Genomic DNA, 21,297 nt, shown 5'->3' on the forward strand with positions numbered 1-21,297 from the left:
GAGCTAGTGTGTTTCACTGTGGTTTGCGCAGACAGAAAAGTGAGACATGGAAGGAAGGCAAAACATTTTTCTTGTCGGTGATGTTTATGAAAGTGACCTGTATGAGGCAGAATAATGGCCTCTTAAAAATGTCCACATCCAGGTCGGGTGCGGTGGCTCACGCCTGTAATCCCAGCACTTTGGGAGGCTGAGATGGGCAGACCACGAGGTCAGGAGTTCGAGACCAGCCTGGCCAACATGGTGAAACCCCGTTTCTACTAAAAATGCAAAAATTAGCTGGGTGTGGTGGCGGGCGCCTGTAATGCCAGCTACTTGGGAGGCTGAGGCAGGAAAGTCATTTGAACCTGCGAGGCGGAGATTGCAGTGAGCCCAGATTGTCCCACTGTACTCCAGCCGGGGCAACATGAGTGAAACTCTGTCTCAAAAAAAAAAAAAAAATCCACATCCTAACTCTTGGAACACATTTACTTGGAATGCATTTACTTTTCTTGGCAAAAACACTGTTCAAAGTTGATGAAGTTGAGTATTTTGAGATGGAAAGCTTATTCTGGCTTATCTGGGTGGCTCCCTGTATCATCATAAGGGTCCTTGTGAGTGAAAGAGGAAGGCAGGAGGGTCAGGGTGAGAATGATGCAGTCTGAGAGACTCCACTGGCCATTGCTTCCTGTGAACATGTGTGATAAGACAAAATTACAACTAATTTAGTTATAGATGTAATTGGCTTTTATTTGTGATTTATGATTTGGGGCAGCTCTCCCTCTACAGATGCTTCAGCATCCCAAGTAGCTGGGACTATATTGCAGGATCTGGCCAGCAGCCTGCAATGCAACGGGGCTCTTTCTTTGTTCCCAGGCAGATTGGCAGGTTGAGAAATAAAAGACACACACAAGATAGTGAAAGCTGGGTCCAGAGGGGTCACTGCCTTCTGGTCCTGCGATGCTGCCAATGCACTGGATATACCAGCATTTATTATTAAGTTTAGTGAGAGTGGGGGTAGGTTAGTGAGGGATTTAGGGTCATTTATAGGCTCTCCGTAAGGGTCACATTCCATTCCCAGAGCTATGGACATCTGCTTTTCTGGGATAGGAATCTTGGTAATGTGAAACCTCCCTGACTGCATGTCCGTTCATAGGCTCTCTGCAGGGGGAAGCACATCACGTGCTGTTGGCTCATTCTGGCAGTCCAACCTGGCATTTGTCTTTACACAATCCTGCATGCAACTTTGTATTTACAATAATCAGGAGCATTTCATCTTTCATTCCGTAGCAATAGTTCAGGGGTTCTCCCTACATCTCTGCTTTTCTCTGATTTAAATGAACCATAGCAATCATAGCTTGGCACTGATCACAATTGGATTGAAGAACATTTTTTCCAATTTTACACATGAACAATAAACCAACAGCACAAATTATACACAGAACAAAATTAACGATAGTGGATCCTCCCAAAGATTTTACCTATTGAATGGGGTTGAGATTAGATAACCCCTCAGAGATACTGTCTAAAACTTCAGCACTGGGTAAAGCAGTTAAGTGTGCTTGAGAAGCTTCAAAAATCTGTTCTTTCAGCTTGCTTATGTCTAAACTTAAATTATCTTCACTTCCTTGTAAATGGCATATTACTGATTCCCGATTGTGACCAGACTCTTTATATTGGAACAGAGTTTTACAAAAATCAGAAGTGTTCCAATCAGGTTGCATTTGTAATCTATGTTCTAAACTCATAATTCTATCTCCCATCCATGTAACAGAAGCACATCCCGTGCTGTAGGCTCATTCTCGCAGCCCAACCTGTCATTGTGTTTACACAATCCTGCGTGCAATTTTGTATTTACAATAATCAAGAGCATTTCATCTTTTATTCTGTAGCAGTAGTTTCTGGGGGTCTCCCTACAGGACTGCAGGTGCACGCCACCATGCCTGGCTAATTTTTGTATTTTTAGTAGAGACAGGGTTTCACCATATTGATCAGGCTGATCTTGAACTCCTGACCTTGTGATCTGCCTGCCTTGGCCTCCCAAAGTGCTGGGATTACAGATGTGAGCCACTGCACCCAGCCCATAAATCACACATTTCTTTGAGTTTTTGTAATTCCAGCACAAGAGAAACCGTTTGATATTTGAAGAATGGCTGCACACAAATATTTGCACAGAAATAAAAACATCTGTAGATTCCACCACATGAGGGAGAATACCAGTATGACTATCAGGAGGAAAATATCAAGAGTTTGGAATATGCACCTTAGGCAAGATGCAAACCAACTACAATAGGATAGATCAAAGAAGAAGCCAGAAGAGTCTAGTCATTTTAACCAGGCAGCACATTTATTGATTTTTACAACTGAGTCTCTATAATACCCGATGTATTTATCCATGTGCAACAAGAAGTGTCAGAAACTGCACAGACTCCCCGCTGTCCAGCTGGTAGAGAACAATTCTATTATCTAGCATTGCATGTCTATGTTAAATTAAAACAGGGAGTGAGAATAGGCAAGTATAGAAGTGGAAGCCTAAAAAAAACTCCATACATTTGAGGAAAAAGTTGTGTTACAGATGCAGCTAACGTCAGCCTTTGTGTGGACTAAAGGATGTCTTGTTATGTAAAAATGTGTGGGCTGGGTGCGGTGGCTCATGCCTGTAATCCCAGCACTTTGGGAGGCTGAGGCATGCAGATCATCTGAGGTCAGGAGTTCGAGAACAGCCTGACCAACATGGAGAAATCCTGTCTCTACTGAAAATACAAAATTAGCTGGGCATGGTGGTGCATGCCTGTAATCCCAGCTACTGGGGAGGCTGAAGCAGGAGAATCACTTGAACCCAGGAGGTGGAGGTTGCTGTGAGCCAAGATTGTGCCATTGCACTCCAGCATGGGCAACAAGAGCGAAACTCCATCTTAAAAAAAAAAAAACGAAGTGTGGTTGACATGATATATCTGACACTGTTAACTTACTCTCAGAGGCTATTTCTGGTGAAATCCTAAGTACAGCATTATTCTGGGAAGCAAAGGAGACAGGCAAAAGCAAAGACAAATTAAGAGAGGTAAGAGTCTCATCATGACTGATAGTCTTGTTCTGACATCTTGAGAAAAGCTGTCCACAGTGTAAAGTCATCAGCTTGTCGTGGTTTGCAGTTTGAGTGTCTCTAAGTTATGGTGTTGAACATTTGGTGAGCTCTTAGTGGCCCCCACCTCAAACACGAGGGTTTTCCCATGAAATTTACATTGAGTTGTCCACCTCCACCTTATATGGCTTCAGGAACAGAGCCGCTCTTGTTCTTAATGATTTCATTGGAGAAAACTGAATTGGAAGAACTAAAAGAATTCAGGGTCCAGTCCAGTCTACCAGTGGATTATAAATACTCAAAGATAATGAACAGTGGTTCAATCTGGTAACAGGTGTACTACAGTTTTTCTTTTCAGCTAGTTTTTCTCTCTATCGGAGTCTCTATTTTTACCAAAGATAATTCCAATAAGATGAATTTGCTTGCAAAATAGGTTGAGTCTCACCGAACTTGCCCAGATTTTTTACCTAAGTGCGGCAAGAGTAGCAATGGACCATAGAGGCTCTTTTTAAACTTCTCTTTGCTAGAAGTTTTTAATAAGAATCTCAGATGAAACTTCCAAAAACCTCTTGAGACTAGGAAGCCAAACCAAGGCCCACTTCAGACTTTGCCTGCATTCCCTATGGGTTTATTCTATGTATATTCTCAAATATAACATCCCAGTCAAAGCCTTGGTAATATAACCAATGTTTTCAAATGTGTCCTGTTATAAAGAGAGCAGATTCTTACGGAACATGTGCAAATAACTTTATTACCATAAACCTATGAATACTCATGAATAGTTTCACAATTCTGGGGCATTCAGATAGACAGCAAAAGCAAATATTTCAATTTTTGTTTACAAAAGTATACTTTACCAATTGCTGAAGAAAAAAAGTTCATAAATCTGGAGAATAAAACATTCAAAGAATCAGCACATTTTCCAATAAAAAATTATGAAAACATTATCCTTTTGATTATTTAGTCCAATAACATTGAGTTTTTTTCTTCTTTGTCTTGAATTTCATGAAGGTATCAGCCTGTTCTTTTTCTCAGTGTCTCAGTTGTTGCAGTCATGACTGAGACTCTGTCAGGTCTCCATGGCAGGGACCTGATTGACAGAAGGCCCAGGTCAGTGCATTTCAAATTCACTACCTCCTTTACACAGAAAGCTTCTTTCCTACAGGCTCCCAGGAAGGGTGTGAAAGCAAGCCTAGTTCTCTGAGGCTCTATTTAACTCTAATGGGTGGCTGGTTGGAGGATTCCCCATCAGCCTTGCAAATACTCTTAGAACTGCATTGGTACCTAAAACTTCTTTCTCTTTCTTTTTCACAGGAATCAGCTCTGCATAGTGTTCTGTGGGTTCTCCCATACTACCTTCATGCCTGCTCCACATTCCCTCACAGGTGTCTTCCCTGATAAATTACCTTGTATGTCTAATCCCATCTTGGATGCATCTCAGTTGGTAAAAACTAACATACCAGACTTGATTCTTTGCCCTTAGCTTTTTTTTTCTCTCCCACAAGTAGTCAGTAACCATGTCCTAGTGTTTTATGTGTTACCTCTTTTTCCATATATATGGAAAAAGGTAGGTACTGTTGAGGTGCACTTCCTATGTGCCAGGCCCTGTGCTCAATACTTTACCTGTATCTCATTTAAGCCACACAATAACCCTGTCACATAGACATTATTTCCATTTTGCCGATGAAAAGACAGAAGCTTAGCATGGTGTAAAAACTTTCCTGGTGTCATATGGCTAGTGACAGGTGGATCTGAGATTTGATTCTAGGACTATTTGACCTCAAGGCTAATGATGATGGTAGTAATATAGCAGCTGACATTGGTTCCGCTGTGTGTGGCATATTGTTTCATTGACTGCATTAAACCTTTAAAACAATGGTAAGAAGAAAGTACTCTCATTGCAATTTTCAGGTAAGGAATCAGAGGTTCAGAGAAGTTGAGTCTTGTGCAAGAAATTTATAACTGTAAACTCTTACATTAAAAAAGAAGAAAGATCTCAGGTCAACAACCTACTTTAATACTTCAGGATATGAAAGAAGAACAAACTAAACCCAAGCACAGTGAATGAGGGAAATAATAAAGATTAGAGTGGATATACATAAAATGGAGAATGGAAACAGAATAGAGGAAATTAATGAAACCAAAAGTTGATTCTTCAAAATAAAATCAACAAAATTGACAACCATTAACTAGATTGACTAAGAAAAAAAGAGAAAAGTTTAAAATTACTCAAATCAGAAATGAAAATGGACTCTGAGCATGGTGGGTCATGTTTTAATCCTAGCACTTTGGGAGGTCACAGCAGAAGGATTTCTTGAGACCAGGTGTTTGGACCAGCATAGGTAACCTGGGGAGATGCTGTCTCTACAAAAAAATAAAAAAAAATTAGCTGGGCATGGTGACATGCACCTGTAGTCCTAGCATCTTGGGAGGCTGAAGAAGGAGAATTGCTTGAGCCCAGGAGGTTAAGGCTGCAGTGAGCCGTAATCACACCACTGTATTCCATCCTGGGCTGGCCTACAGAGTGAGAGCCTGTCTCTCTCTCTTCCAAAAAAAAAAAAAAAGAAAGAAAGAAAGAAAAATGAAGCGATTACTACCAATTCTAATAAAATAATGATGATGAAAGTACTATAAATAATTGTATGCCAATAAATTGGATAACCTAGATGAAATGGACCAACTCCTAGAACCACACAAAAATATGAGTATAACTATAATCAGTAATAAGATTGAATCAATAAAAGCATTTGATGAATTCAATATTTTTTCATAATGAAAACATCCTAAGAATGGAAGGAAACCACCTCAACATAAAGGCAATATGTGAAAAACCCAATGCTAGCATCATACTCAATGGAGAAAGACTGAAAGCTTTCCCTGTATGAGCAGTAACAAGACAAGGATGCCTGCTTTTGACACTTTTATTCAACGTAGTATTGAAAGGTCTAGTCAGAAAAATTAGGCAAGAATTGAAAAAAAGACATTCAAATTGGAAGGAAGGAGTAAAATTATTTCTGTTTATAGATAACTTGAACTTATATGTAGAAAATCCTAAAGATTGAACAAACCTAATTAGAATTAATAAATAAATTCAGTAATGTTGCACAATACAAAATCAACATTCAAACATCTGTTGTATTTCAATACACTAACCATGAACAATCTGAAGGGAAATTAAGAAAAAAATTTCAATTTATATTAACATCAAAAAGAATAAAATATTTAGGAATAAGTTTAATCAAAGAGGTGAAATGATTATACCTGAAATCTACAAAATATTGCTGAAAGAAATGAAAGATGACATCAATAAATTGAAAGACATTTTGTTTTCATGAATTGGAAGACTCAATATTGTTAGGAGAACAGTGCTACCCAAAGTGACTGCAGATTCAATACAATTCCTATCAGATTCTCAGTGGCATTTTTGCAGAAAAAGAAAAATCTGTCCTAAAATTTATATTGTATCTCATGACTCTAAATAGACACACAGCTTTGAAGAGGAAGAATGAAGCTGGAGGACTCACACTTCCTGATTTCAGCATTTACAATGGGGAAGGGACAGTGTTCTCACCAAAGGATATTGGGAAAGCTGGATATCCAAGGGCAAGAAGATTGGAACCTTTACCTAACACCATGTACAAAAATTAACCCACAATAGATCAAAGATCTAAATGTAAGAGAAAAACTACACAACTCTTAGAAGAAAAGCTTCATGATACTGGATTTCCCAATGATTTCTTGGTTGTAACAACAAAAGCATAGGCAACAAATAAAATGGATAAATCGGACTTCACAAAAATCAAAGCTTTTATATGTCGAAGAACATTATCAAGAAAGTAAAAAGGCAACCCACGAAATGATAAAAATATTTGCAAATTATATGTGTGATAAGAAATTCATTTCCAGAATACATGAAAAGCTACAAGTCAACAACAACAAACATCCAAAAACCCAATTAAAAAATGAACAAAGGATTAAAATAGAGTTTTATCCAAGGGAGATATACAAATATCCAATAAGCCCATGCAAAGTTCCTCAGCATCACGAATACCTGGAGATATGCAAATCAAACCCACAATGCTACACCACCTCACACAATTTAGGATGGCTTTGATAAACAACAACAATGACAACAACACAAAACAACAGGTGTTTGCAAGTAGATGGAAAAATTGGAGCTCTAGTGCATTGCTGATGGGAATGGGAAATGTTATAGCCACTGTAAAAAGTGGTGTGGCTGTTTCTCAAAAAATTAAACAATAAATTACCATTTGATCCAGCAATTCCACTTCTGGACATACTCCCCATAGAATTGAAAGAAATTTGAACAAATATTTGTACACTGATGTTCAGAGAAGCATTACTCACACTAGCGAAAAAATGGAAACAACTGAAAAGTCCATTGAAAGATAAGTGGGTAGGCAAATGAGGTGTATCTATACATTGAAATGTTATTCAACCTTAACAAGGAATAAAATTCCAATACATCATGCAAAATGGATGAACCTTGAAGATATTATGCTAACTGAAATAAACCAGACACAAAAGGATAATTATTATGTAATTCCATTTATAAAAGATAGTTAGAATAGCCAGTTACATAGAGACAAAGTAGAATGATGGGTGCTAAGGGTTAGGGGAAGAAGGAGTGAGAGTTACTGTTTATTGGGTACAGAGGTTTAATATGGTAAGAGGAAAAAGTTCTGGAAATGGATAGTGTGATGGTTACACAACACTAAATTGCACACATAGAAATAGTTAATGGTAAGTCTTATATTAGATATATATAAAGTGTCTGGTAGTCTTACCCTCTCTATAATTACACACTTTTTGGCACTGCCCCTTTCCTGCCATGAATAACCCCAACGGTGAATCTCCCTATTCCTCCAGCTCTGCATCAGTCACTGTCCTCCGTGCTGTGTCCCACGTGCTGTGCCCAAAGCCTCATACAGCTGGTGACTTCAGAGCCAGGACGCAGCTCAGGAGTCTGCCCTGAGGCTCCCTCTCTTCTTATTTCCCTGCAGCCTGGCCCGGGGGAGGCTTGGCTTCAACTGGCAGCTCAATTTAGCCAAATTCAGGACAGGCCACCAGGGCCCTTTCTACACACACGCTAGTCCCACCCCAGGTTGAGTGAGGCAGGGCCAGTCACCAGAGGAGCCCGGAGCAGAGCAGGAAGCAGAGTCTGAGCTGCTCCTCCCTCACCCAAGGGGCTTCCTCCTCTCATCTGGGGGAAAAGTGTGAGCTTGTTTCAAAGCCTCAGCTGTCCCTTGTAGCTCATGGAATAGGTACAAGAAAAAAAAGACGTGGCAGAAGGGGATGTGTCGGTGACAGCGAGAAGCAACTTGATCTTGAGGACTCTCCTTCTTGTCCCTCTCTGAAGCCTCTTCTACCACATAGGGCTCAGGGCTGATAAAGCCCCCTCCCTACCTTTTTCAGGCCAGACACAAGGTCAGCCATAAGAAAACAGAAAAACAAGGAGAAGAGAGTCTGTAGAGACAAATTGGGAGGGTTCAGGAGGAGAATTTGGGATTTGCTTGTGCCCATGGGACACAGGCTGGGAATAAAAATGTTTTCCTGACTCTTCTCTGAAAGCCAGATAGACTCCACATAAAACCCTACTGCCAAGGATGCTGGGATCCACTTACCAGAGACTTTGACTGTCATGGATTTGGAGATTTCCTTGCCAGTGGCTGAGTTATGAACAGAGCAAGCATAGAGCCCGCTATGATTTCTAGTAATTTGGGGGATAAAGAGCTTTTGTCCTGATTGCTGAAACTTCCCATTAATTGTCCAAAAATACTCTGCCGGTGGGTTAGATTCCGTGAAGCAGGACAAGTCGAGGTTTTCTCCTGAACGGTAATAGGTGAATGAAGGGTAAATTCTGGGGAGGTCTGGACCATCTGGAGGAAAGAGAATAAAGCCACACGTGATGTCATTCGAGGGAAGGGGATGTTCCTGGTCTCTTAAAGGGACACAGTGACCCTCTGAGCCAAGACACACCCTCAAGTCCCAGCCAAAGTCCCTCTATGTTCACTGAGCTGAAGCCTGAGGTATTCACCTGTTTCTCCCATCACAAGCTGTGGGCCCCAAGTCTCCCATGACAAGAGCATCCACTCCCCTTATATTCTTGGTTAAGGCTGTGCCTACCCAGGTTTTCCCAGGGCAGGGAGTCATGGCCACCTCGGATGTCTAGAAGTAAAGGTGTCTATACTTGGACCGGAGAGAGACTGAGAGGCCTGGCATCTGGTCGTTTGGACTTAAGCTGGTGTCCTGGCCCACAGAGGAACAAAAGATACTCACAGAGGACATTTAGGATGACTGGGTTACTGCGGAGGCCACCATATCGGTCCCGTATTTCACATTGATAGGGTCCTGTTTCATTTCTCGTGACACTGGGTAGAATGAGTATCCTGTTTTCAATGGGTCGCTTTACCCCGGGACTGACGGGGAGGCTCTGACCGTTTAGCCACCAAATGTAGGTGTAGTTCTCACTCTTAGGTTCACAGGTGAAGGCTAAGACATCCTTATTCTCCCTGGGGTTTAAGTTGTTGATGGTGATGTAGGGGATGGGCAGCTTCGCTGTGTGGATAACAGAGAGAAGATTGTCCTGTGTGGCACCTTTGATTCCTCCACAGGCATACTTCAATCAGAGTTGGCATCTCCCACCTCTCAGCCCACCCGAGTCCTTGAAAGCCAATAGCTGGTGCGTGTGTCACAAGACAGATGCATGATGATCTAAGGGCTCAAAGACTGTGAGGCCGCCTGCTCTGTCTTAGGGAAGCACAGACTTTCTCAAGTGTCAATTGAGCAGCAGTGTTGGGTCATGGACAGACACATCAGTGGGAGTCACAGCCCCTGGTACCCCTCCCAGTCCCTCCCTAATCAGTTGACTGGCTGGCTCACCTTGGGTTCCTTACCTGGAATGTGCAACTGCTGGGCCCCTTCCAAATTCCATCCTACTTTGCCCCCCTATATGTGATTTCTCTGCAGCTTCCATTTCTAAGGATGTTCTAGAGATGAGTAATAATGGGACTTCCCATTGTCCTGAGACCCTGAAGATACTTAGCAGCCTGGCCTGGGACTGGATGTTTCAGCAGAAATAACACAGAGGAGACCAGAGTCAAGCCTGGAGGTCAGTTCAGTCATCAGGCAGTGGAGGCTCAAGGTGGGGCAGTTTTTTGCAGGTGTTTCATGATGACTTACTTGAACCAGTGACCTCTAAACATAGAGCAGAGTGCAAGGAATGATCTAGAAAGAGTGAAGGCGACAGGCAAGAGCTGGTGGCTTTGGAGCAGAACCATGTTCTCTGTCCTGGGTTCTTTAAGTTTCCTCTCCTTCTGCAGAGGGCAGAGGAGGACCATGTGGATCTTTCCAGAAATACATGTGGACATTTGCAAATGCAGAACTGACTGGTGGAAAGTGTGGGAATGAACTGCTGGAAATCTGGTCCTCATGGACCATGTGTGTTTGATGGATATGAGACAAACTTGGAGAGAAGTTTTGCAAATATTTTCTTTCATTGGACATTCTACTCTCTGATCCCCTGGGTTCGACTACTCTAGGGACCTCATGTAAGTGGATTCCAGAGTGAATATGAGAAGAGACTGCTGGTTGCCAGGAGCTGGGAGTGGGGAGAATCAGAAATTGTTCATGGGTGTGCAGTTTCAGTTATGCAAGGTGGGGAGGTTCTAGAGATCTGCTGTAGAGCTTGATGCCTATAGTTCACACAGATTGAGTATTTCTTATGCATAAGTCTTAGGACAAAAAGTGTTTTGGATTTCTGACATTTTTTTATTCTGAAATATTTGTCATATACTTACTGGTTTAGCATCCCAAATCTGAAAGATTCAAAATCTAAAATGCTTCAGTGAGCATTTCTTTTCAGCATCAGATTAGTAGGCAAAAGTGGGAGGTGATAAGCCAAAGATATTCTTGCCCTTTTTTTTTCTCTCACCACTTTTCTAGCTTGATGATTAGTTTTTGGTCAATTCCATACTGGCCATGCTGCACTCATATATTTTTTAAAGCTTTGGGATGTGAGAAAGGCTGATTGCTATTTTCTTTGTCATCAGAACTTTCCACCTTTTCTGGTTGCATCTTTTTCTCAGTGTTTGTGTTGTGGCAGTCATTAATAAGATCCTGTCAGGTCAGATTTAGGACAGAGTTTTCTAATTCTGCAAAAAATGTTACTGGGATTCTGGTAGGGGTTGCATTGAATCTGCAACTCAATTGGGTAGTATTGTCTTTCTAACAATATTGATTCTTCCAATCCATGAAAATGAAATGTCTTTCCATATATTGATATCATCTTTAATTTCTTTCAGCAATGTTTTGTAGTTTTCAGGGTATAATCATTTGACCTTTTTGGTTAAACTTATTCCAAAATATTTTATTCCTTTTGATGTTAATGTGAATTGAAATCCTTTCCTTAACTTCCTTTCAGATTGTTCATTGTTAGTGTATAGTCTAAAGAATGATCTAGAAAGAGTGAAGGGACAGGCAAAAGCTGGTGGTTTTGGAGCAGAAACATATTCCCTATCCAGGGTTTTTTATTTTCCCTCTCCCTTTGCAGAGGGCAGGTGGCTGTTCCCTGACAGCTAGATAGACTTCACTGGAAAACATAGTGCCAGTGCTCCAGGGACCCACTTACCAGGGACTATGATCCTCTTGATTATGAGATTTGTTCCACCAGTGGCTGAGTTATGGATGAAACAGACATAGACCCTCTATATGTTTTAGTGATTTGGGGGATAAAGAACACTTGTGCTGAGTGCTGGAACTTCCCATCAATCAGCCAAGAATGCTCTGCCAGTGGGTGAGAGTCTGTGAGGCAGGAGAGATTGGGGAATTCCCCTGTATGGTAATAGATGTATGAGGAAGAAATGGTGGGTGCATCCAGGCCATGTGGAGCAAAGAGAATAATGTCACAAGCGATATTGTCAGAGGGAAGGGAAAATCCTGGTCTGTGGAAGGGCCACAGTGACCCTGTGAGCCAAGTCGCAACACTGAAGTCCCAGCCAAATCCCTGCTGTGTTCACTGATCTGGAGCCTGAGACATTCACCTGTTTCTCCCATCACAAGCTGTGGACCCAGAGTCTCCCATGACACAGCAGCCTCTTTTCTCCCATTGTTGATCAAGCCTAGGCCTACTCTGGTTTGCTTGGGGCAGAAAGTCATGGCCAGCTTTGATGTCTAGGGGTAAAGGTCTCTGTACTTGGACCTGAGAGGGACTGAGAGGCCTGGCCTCTGGCCATGTGTATTTGGGATGGCAGCCTGGCTCACAGAGGAACAGAAGATACTCACGGAGGAGATTCAGGGTGACTGGGTCACTGCGACTGGCACTCACTGGGTTCCGTATTTCACATTCATAGGGTCCTGCAATATACTTTGTGACACCAAATAGATAGAGGGTCCTGTTGGTTTTGGACAGCTGCAACCTGTGAGTCACAGGGAGGCTCTGACCATTCATCCACCATAGGTAGCTTGCGTCCAGAGTCTCAGGATCACAGATTAAGCGCACAGCCTCCATGGCCTCCCTGGGGTTTAAGTTGCTGCTGGAGATGTAGGGCTTGGGAGTCTCCACTGTGCAGAAAACAGAGAGAAGATTGCCCTGTGTGGCACCTTTGATTCCTCCAAAGGCATTTTTCAGTCAGAGTTGGCATTTCCCACCTCTCAGCCCAACCCAGTCCTTAAAAGCCCATGGCAGGTGTGTGTGTTACAAGACAGATGCATGGCAATCTGAGAGCTCAGAGATTGTGAGGCTGCCTGCTTTATGTGGGAGAAGCACAGACTTTCTTAAGTGTGAATTGAGCAGCAGCATTGGGTCATGGAAAGACACAGGACCAGCAGTCACAGCCCCTGATGCCTCTTTGAGTCCCTCCGTCTCCAACTGCCTGACTGGCCCAACTTGTGGTCCTCACTTGGAGCATGCAGTGCTGGAATCCTCTTAGTTTCAGTCTTACTTTGCCCCCTGAGGTATGTTTTCTCTGCAGCTTCCCTTGCCAAGGACATCCTAGAGATGGGTGATGGAACTTCCCATTGTCCTTAAACCCTTTGGGTATTGGAAAGCCTGGTCTGGGACTGGGTACTTCAGCAGAAATAACACAGGGGAGACCAGAGTCAAGCCGGGAGGTCAGTTAAGACATCAGGCAGTGGAGCCACAAGGTGGGGCAGTTTGCAGTTTTCCCAGGTGTCTCATAGTGACTGACTTGAGCCAGTGACCTCTAACGATAGAGCAGAGTCCAAGGAATGACCTACAAAGAGTGAAGGGGCCAGGCAGTAGCTGATAGCTTTCGACCAAGACCATGTTCCCTGTTCTGGGTCCATGATGCTCCCTTCCCCCTGTAGAGGGCAGGTGAGGACCATGTGGATCTTTCTAGAAATACATGTGGATGTTTGCAAATGCAGAACTGACTGGTGGAAAGGGTGAACATGAACAGATGATGGAAGTCTGGCCCTCAAGGACCATATGCGTTTGGTGGATATTAGACCAATATTTGGGAAGAAGTCTTGCAGATACTTTCTCTCATTGGACATTCTACTGTCTGATCTGAGTTTGACTACTCTATGTACCTCCTATCAGTGGATTCCAGAGTGAATCAGAAAGTAGAATAGTAGTTTGCAGGAGCTGGGATCAGGGGAATAGGGTGTTGTTCCGTGGGTGTGCAGTTCCAGTTATGCAGGATGAGGAGGTTCTAGAGATCTCCTGTACAGCTTCATGCCTATAGTTCATACAGATAAAGTGCTCCTTATTCAGAAAGCTTAAAACAAAGTGTTTTGGATTTCTAATTTTTTTTATTTTGGAATATTTGCAGTACATGTACTGGTTTAGCATCCCAAATCTGAAAAATTTAAAATCCACAATGCGCCAGTGAGCACTTCTTTTTAGCATCACATCAGTGGTCAGAAGTGTTGACTTTTGAGCATTTCAGATTGTGGATTTCTGGATTTGGGATGCTCAATTTGTTATACTGTAATTTTCCCATAAAAAGTTGTCAGGAGTTTAGACCTCATGTTGTGTTCTGACTCTAGTAACAAAAAAAAAAAAAAATTTGGAGGAAACATTAAAATGTTTTCATAAGTGGAAACTTTTACTGATGGTCCAAACATCTAAGATCAATTGCTGGTAGTAGTATTTCTCTTGAGACCAAAATAAGGTTTAGGTGTGCCGTGAATTCCAGCAGGATCACATTATGCTCAAAGAAAGATGCCAAAGGTGATTGGAAATTAGCAGCTCCTTAAGTAGAGAGAGTCCCGTTAAAAGGACCGAACTGGTCAGTGCATCAATTACATAAAGGGAGGAAGGATGCCAAATTAAAAGAAGTGATGTGTGTTATGTTAGTAAATATAGAAAGAACTCCCTGCTTCTAATTTCTGTGCAGAATTAGGAAAAATGGGGAGGACTGCAAAACAGGTAGGTGAAATGCTTTCTTCATTTTCTCTTAAGCTCAGGAAACACCACTAAAATTTAAGTCTGTGTGAATCAGGAAGATTCTAAGTGAGATGCCAATGGCTCGTGTGTCTCCCCACATGCAGAACTCCAACTTATGAAAATGGCATCATCATGAGGAAATAGTTGTATGAGACACAGGCAGTAAAACCATTAGATATCACCCACCTGGCCACCTCCAACTGGTCCCCAAAAACCACCAGTATTCCCATTATGTGTATGTTACAGCCTTTGTAGTTGTCCCACAACTACAAAATTTAAAAATTGCTATTGTCAAAACAAAATATTAAATATGAAGTTGAATATGTTGTTCCACTTTTTCTTCCCCACTTTTTTTGAACTTTCCTTTTTCAGTTTTGGAAGTTTCTATTGACACATCCTCAAGCTAGGGATTCTTTCCTCAGCTGTGTGCAGTCTACCAGTAAGCATCAAAAGCATTCTTCATTTCTCTGACAGCATTTTTTTTTTCTGAGACAGAGTCTCGCTCTGTCACCCTGACTGGAGTGCAGTGGCATGATCTCAGCTCACTGCAAGCTCCGCCTTCTGGGTTCACACCATTCTCCTGCCTAGGCCTCCCAAGTAGGTGGGACTACAGGCGCCCACCACCACGCCCGGCTAATTTTTTGTATTTTTAATAGAGACAGGGTTTCACCCTGTTAGCCAGGATTGTCTCCATCTCCTGACCTTGTGCCCGCCTCGGCCTCCCAAAGTGCTGGGATTATAGGCTTGAGCCACTGAGCCCAGCCATCTCTGAGGGATTTTAATGAGTTGTTGACTTTTGAGATTGTTCAGCTTTTTACTTAGTGTTAGAACTGAGTGACAAATTCCAAGCTTGTTATATGCCTGACAGGAAGCCAGAAGTCTCTAGGAAGTGACCAGAGAATGTGAGCTCCATAGCAGGTTGAGGATGGAGTCACAAATGAAATGGGTGAAATGAGTCCATGTGCTTTGGGGACTGCAGGCCTCTCCAGCCTCTGACACCCTGGTTAGTCAGGGCAGAGATTACACAGTGACAGGAAACTAGCATGGCTGACTCCATCTGGCATCTAGTCTCAGGCTGGCTGTCCTCACTCATTCCTGGACATAGGTCAGGCTAACCTTGGGAGGAATTTATTTTATGGTTTAACTTTGAAGCAAGAATGATAATAGTTCCTCCATAAAACTAACACCCTTACTTTGCCCAGGGACTGCTTTTGTCAAACTAGTGAAAGACCATGAGATTAAGATTATAGGAGGGAACTGAATTCTGCTAAAATGTTGTCACAGTTTCTATAATCCCTGACTGCTCCGATGTCATTTGGCAAGAGTTTACAAAATTTGTAACTAATTGCTCCTATAGATAACATCACTATTGTAGAACGTGAGATTGGTCTTTTGAGATGTTTCTCATTCTTTTGCATTCTGGCAACCGGCTGACCTCATCCATACCTATGACTAATGGCTCAGTCAGTCATGTGGCCCCTACCTGGAGGCAGATTCAAGCACAAACAAATCATTTCCCTCCGGCCGCATGATTCCATCACCAAACAATCAGCAGTACTCATTTTTTAGTCCTGTGCCCCTGAAACGATCCTTGAAAATCTCTAACCCCTGATCCACTGGGGAGGCTGATTTGAGTAATAATAAACATCCGTCCTCCTGTTTGGCAGACTTGGAGTCATTAAAATCTTTCTCCGACTACAGACCACCATTTCAATAATTTTTTTTGTGTGTGTGTGCAGGAGGCCAGAAGAACTTGTCTGGCAATTATGAGTGGATGGAGGAACTGCCTATCCCTGTCCCATGTTCTTGTCCACAGGTCAGACTGACAAAGGGAAAGAGCCATGGATGGGAATACAGTGGAATATTTCTCTTAGTGACCTGGGGACATTGGCTGGAGATGAAGCCAGGCAGGAGTGGCAACTCCAGGTGATTTCTGTGCCTTTCCTATTTCCTGGGAGGTGGGCCAGGCCACAGTGTTAGTAGGAAGGGAACCGAACAGCCAGCCTAGTTAGAGGGAATGTCTGGGGAAGGCCTAGGGGTGGGGGAAGAAGCTGTGCAGGACAGGGCTTGCCAGTCAGAATGAAGTGGGAGGAAGATGAGGGACACAGAGAAGCAGAGAGAGGCAGAGACACCATGGCAGTGAGCAGTGAGGGAGACACTGACTTCAGAGACCCCAGGGCCCAGGTGCCCCCAGTTCCACAGTCCAGGACCAAGGAGCCCTGAGAACCCTCCGGTGGCCAAAGAGCTTCAGAGTTACATGAGGTGGGGTGGCTTTAGGGGCAAGAGGTAGTGGGGGGATGAAACGTGGGTGTCAGCCTCTGAAGGACAAGGGACAGGTGTGGCTAGAACCTCCTAGGATTCTGCATGCAAATTCAGTCTCTAAAGAGGTTTTGGATCATTCATTTCTTCATTCAAGTTCTTCATTCATTATGTGAGAGCTCCTGAGTGTGTGTCTCTCGCTGGGCCTGTGCTGGTGTAGGGTGTGAGTGGGGAAAGAAAACAAGGTCCTCTCCTTGATCCTCTCATGACAGTGACATGGACACTTTGGGAAACACAGGATTTCACGTTCAGTGATGGGGGTTAAGATCTGAGGGGGAGGCCTGGACATATTTTTTGCACTGACTCTGATGGTTGAGGCAGGTGATTTAGTTCTGGAATACAGACTAATCAGCTGACCATTTGCTCTCACTCCTCTGAGGTTTGGATGCCTAAGAAGAGAGGATTTGAGCCAATAAATGACTATGGGGTCCTTGGAACCCAGTAAGCCCTCACTTCTGGTGGAGGAGAGGATAGGCCTGTGGCTGCAGACAGACCTCATGTGACCCTGATCTCCCCTTTGTGTTTGTGTGACTCTGGTTCAGTGACTGCACCTTCCTGTGCCTCAGTTTTCTCTCAATCAAATAAACTAAATGGCAAATGGACTGTGGCTTTTCATGCTATCTGTGAATAAATGTTAAATGATTCACAGTCACCTGACCTAATGCTTGGCACAGTGGAGGTTTCACACAAGCAGCATTTATTATTAATTTGCTTCCATGAGAAAGCACCTTATGTCAGATCCCTGTGGACAAGCTGCTACCAGGTACATCTTCTCCCTTCTGTTTCTGCTTCTGGGGACATTAGACTTTCTATGGACTGTCCTAAGCCTCCCAAGGCAGTTGGCTGATGTCCTACAAAGCTTGTCTTTCTGTCCTCTCCACTCTGAGTGTCAGCTGAAAAAGCTCTGTCCTTGCCCAGATGAGACTCTGAGGGCTGAGCCCTGGCTGGTGAACAGCTCCAGGAGACACAGTCCTCAGACAGCTGGTAAATTCTTGGTCCCAGTAAGGCCTGCCCAAGAAGCCACAACCCAGCACTGGCACAGGCTCCTCAGCTTAACTGGAGCAAGGATTTAGGGACAGGGGTCTGGGGTTGAGGCTTCTAGGGCTGAGCTTCTCTGAGAGTATCTCAGGGGTCCCCTCAAGCCAAGCCCTACTCAGTTCTCCAGGGTCTTTCTCAGGGTCAAATTTATGAAGAGGGCATGATGTGCTTGGCTGAGACTGATCTCCTCCTGCTGAGTCCCCCCATCAGACTGTCCTTCCTCTGCAGCGAGTGTCTGCAGGGTCTGGATGCGGGAAAGGAATTCTGATCTGTTGAAATTTGTCTCCTCTGTGTGTGTCCTGCACTAAATGCCCAAACCCCAGCATGGGACATAATGCAGAGAGTGACACAGGCAGAGTCCAGGCCTGACAATCCTGTGTGTGTGAAGTAGAAATGACCCCTTCCCCCCAACACCCAGGGATCATGTGGAATCACTCACAGTATAAGGTGAAGGTGAAATGTCGAATTTCTTCTCTAGTCTCATCACCTCGCTTTATGATGTGTAAGGTGTAGGTTCCTGCATCCTTCCGGGTGACATTCTGGATCAGCAGGGATGCGTTGGAATATACTGTTTCTCTTCCACTGTATGCAGGCCCATATATAATTATTTTACCATCAACTATATACGATATAATGTAATGGTAGAGGTCCGTCATTTCCCCTTTGTACCAGAAGTAGCCAGGAAGATTCTGGGGCAAATTGTGGACAAGTAGAAGAACATCCTTCCCCTCAGAAACTTTGGGTGGCTGGGCTTCAATCGTGACTTCGGCAGTGGTGGGCGGGTTCCAGAAGTTTAAAAGTGATGCTAGGAGGGGGAGACAGCATCAGTTAATATTGAGACCTATGTATTGTGGTGAAAAGATGGGGCCCTGGGTCCTGAGAAGGTCTCTTCCATCCTCAGCCTTGAAGATACACACACGCACACATACAAACAAACACACACAAAAAACGGGCATGTGTGTTTGTGTATGTGTATGTGTGTGTGTCCTACTGTCCTACTAGGTCAAGGTCAGCAGCATGACCCCCATTCCTTCAACACTTCTGACCTTGGCATTTTTCTGTTTGGAATCCTCTTCCCCAGGGGTCCACACGGCCCCCTCCACACTGCCCTCAGGTCCTGCTCACATCAGGGCATCCTTAGACTTCTTTCCTGACACCTCCTTCAGAGACCCTGGGTCTTCCCTTTCTGACCTTTCCCTGCTCTGCTCCCTCCAGGGTTCTTGTCAACACCTGATCTCACATTCTACATCTCTTCGCATGTCTGTCTTCCTCCCCATGACAGCGTGAGCTCCGTGAGGACAGGGACTTTTGTGATCCTGGTTGCACCCCAGTGCCTGGGACAGGCTGCAGACTCCTGTAGATGTGAGAGTTCTCAGGGCCCTCCATGCCCTGGGTGTTTTTTTTTCCCCCAATTGTTGAGGTTTTTTGCTGAGGATAGTGTTTCATGTCCTGCTTATATTTTTATTTGAAGTGTCATCTGATATAGTTATTATTATCATTTTTCAAAATGTGGTGGCCCCGGATGATTAATCAGGAAAACAGAACACTTAAGATTTTCCTACCTCTTACCAATTCCGGTTCAATGTGACTTTCCTCTTTTGACCCCTGTCCCTCTCTGGTGTATTTTCCCCTATCCAGGCTGCAACAGAGCCTTCTTTCCTTTTTTTCTTTTTTTTTTGAGACGGAGTCTCGTACTGTCGCCCAGGCTGGCGTGCAGTGGCGGTATCTCGGCTAGCTGCAACTTCTGCCTCCCGGGTTCACATGATTCTCCCACCTCAGCCTCCCGAGTAGCTAGGATTACAGGAGTACACCACCATACCTGGTTAATTTTTTATATTTTTAGGAGAGACTGGGCTTCACTGCATTGGCCGGACTGATCTTGAACTCCTGATCTCGTGATCCACCCACCTCAGCCTCCCTAAGAGCTGGCTTCTTTTATTTTACAACCCCATCCTCTCCAGGAGACCCCATCCAGTCACTCCGCTTCCTCCCCCTGTCCTCTCCCAGGAAGTTCTCTCCTCACCTGTGAGCAGGAGCCCCTTCCAGGTGATGCGCTGTGTGCAGGAAGGGGCTGGGAGGGGCCCCATGGTCTCTGCTGCCTGTGTGTTCTCCTCTGTGGAGATGAGCCTGGGATCCAGAAGCTGTCTGAGCACGGCTGTCAGCTGTGCTGTCCTTCCTCCTTCTGTGCTGAGCCTCTTCCCGGGGCAGGAGCACTTCTCAAGCTCATGGGCGGGGTCAGTCCCAGGACACCTCTCTGTCCCCTTCTCTCTCAGTCCTGCCTCCTTGTCCCTCCTTCTGTTTTTCCTTTTGTCTGTGTTTCAGGTCCCTGGGAGTTGTGGAGGCCTCTGCCTTTTTCAGCAGTGATTCTTTCACCAAACCTCAACACACACTTTGTGCAGACACACACACACACACACACACACACACACACACACAGAAGAGACACACACAGACCCACACAGTCAGGCACATACCCTGCAGGTTGGGCAAGCACAGTCCTGGGCCTCAGCCTCCTGCTGTCCCCATGGCTCTGGGTTGGGGTGCACATTCATGCCTTTTACCCTCTTTCATCCCCATCTGGCTCTCCCCTTCAGTGCAGGAGGCTGGAGATGCACCAGGTCCCTGTCACAGTGACACCCCATTGTGCTGTGGGTGAGCTGTGTGTTGCCTGGTGAGAGGGACCCTTCCTTTCTCTAATCGTGTCAAGCTTGACTGCAGCTTCCAAGGATGGACTTTCAGGACCTGGGTGTCCCAGAGGAAACTGTCCTTCCTGGAGGTGTGCAGGGTGAATCTCTCATGCCTCTTAGGAGGAGAGGCCTGTGCTGGTTGCTCAGTGGGGGCTGTGAGTCCCATAGTCAAAGGGACAGTTCTCTGTCAGTCTATGGCTCCCTGGGGTCTGGCGGCTGAGCTGGAGCTCAGGGTTTCTCATGTTCTCCCTGACCATCTTTGATGTCCTCTCTTCTCTGCCCAGCTGATTGTCCTGTGGTCACCACACCTTCCCCGTGGTGGTGCAGGAGGAAGTGGGGAGTTACCCAGGAACCCCGCGGGACATGGCTCATTGAGACGCAGGAGGGGGAGCCTGGGACAGAGCAGGGGTTCAGAGCTGGAGAGATTCATCCCGACTTACTCCGTGGCCATGATGGGCTCAGCCCTCCATGTGCTGACACACCCAGGGGTCTGTCCTGAGGGTTTTGACCTGGCCAAGCTGCTGTCTGTAGAGGAGGAACAGGCAGTGACCAGAGAGGCTCTCTGGAGGGACGTTGCTCACACCTGAGAGGGCGGGTGGGGGTGAGTTGTGTTCTGGGAGCAAAGAGCAATAACACCGCCCTTCTCCACGCAAGTACACAGGAGAGGTCTGTCTTCCCAAGGGACAGCTGGGGGTAGGTGGCCACATCCCGGATGGTACCTGTGAATGACCATCACACGCTCTCTGAGCCCCCTGGGGTGCAGG

At 44.6% G+C, this 21,297-nt stretch overlaps 1 protein-coding gene across 6 annotated transcripts, besides 1 other annotated feature; it reads right to left on the reverse strand.

The window, feature by feature from the left end:
* Positions 359-859: an enhancer, noted in NCBI's record as "H3K27ac hESC enhancer chr19:43754009-43754509 (GRCh37/hg19 assembly coordinates)". NCBI's record gives its function as "activates a minimal SCP1, AML or CMV promoter by ChIP-STARR-seq in primed H9 embryonic stem cells {active_cell/tissue: H9 hESC(primed)}" and the evidence as "EXISTENCE:reporter gene assay evidence [ECO:0000049][PMID:30033119]".
* On the reverse strand, positions 3,784-20,032 carry PSG9 (pregnancy specific beta-1-glycoprotein 9). Of its 6 annotated transcripts, none has more exons than NM_002784.5 (6): positions 19,870-20,032; positions 18,286-18,651; positions 12,362-12,640; positions 9,359-9,637; positions 8,704-8,958; positions 3,784-4,148 (listed from the first exon to the last, which is right to left on the reverse strand). In NM_002784.5, the coding sequence occupies exons 1-6, from the start codon at positions 19,931-19,933 to the stop codon at positions 4,111-4,113; spliced, it is 1,281 nt and encodes a 426-aa protein (NP_002775.3). In that variant the 5' UTR covers positions 19,934-20,032; the 3' UTR covers positions 3,784-4,110. The 6 variants fall into 6 exon arrangements, with proteins under 6 accessions (NP_002775.3, NP_001288636.1, NP_001288637.1 ...); XM_017027007.3 differs by lacking the exon at positions 3,784-4,148 and adding an exon at positions 4,186-5,422; NM_001301707.2 differs by lacking the exon at positions 12,362-12,640.
* Positions 20,033-21,297: the final 1,265 nt, after the last annotated feature.

This window comes from Homo sapiens, chromosome 19 (assembly GCF_000001405.40).
Source record: "Homo sapiens chromosome 19, GRCh38.p14 Primary Assembly".
In the NCBI taxonomy this organism is placed as follows: domain Eukaryota; kingdom Metazoa; phylum Chordata; class Mammalia; order Primates; family Hominidae; genus Homo; species Homo sapiens.

Bases quoted from the DNA above. Each gene is read 5' to 3' on its own strand.
- PSG9 (XM_017027007.3), bottom strand. From the start codon at position 19,933: ATGGGGCCCCTCCCAGCCCCTTCCTGCACACAGCGCATCACCTGGAAG. The intron at 9,638-12,361 runs GTGAGTATCTTC...TTATCCACACAG, and splicing joins AGTCACCCTGAATCTCCTCC to CGAAGCTGCCCATCCCCTAC. The intron at 8,959-9,358 runs GTGAGTATCTTT...TCTTTCCTCCAG, and splicing joins AGTCATCCTAAATGTCCTCT to ATGGTCCAGACCTCCCCAGA.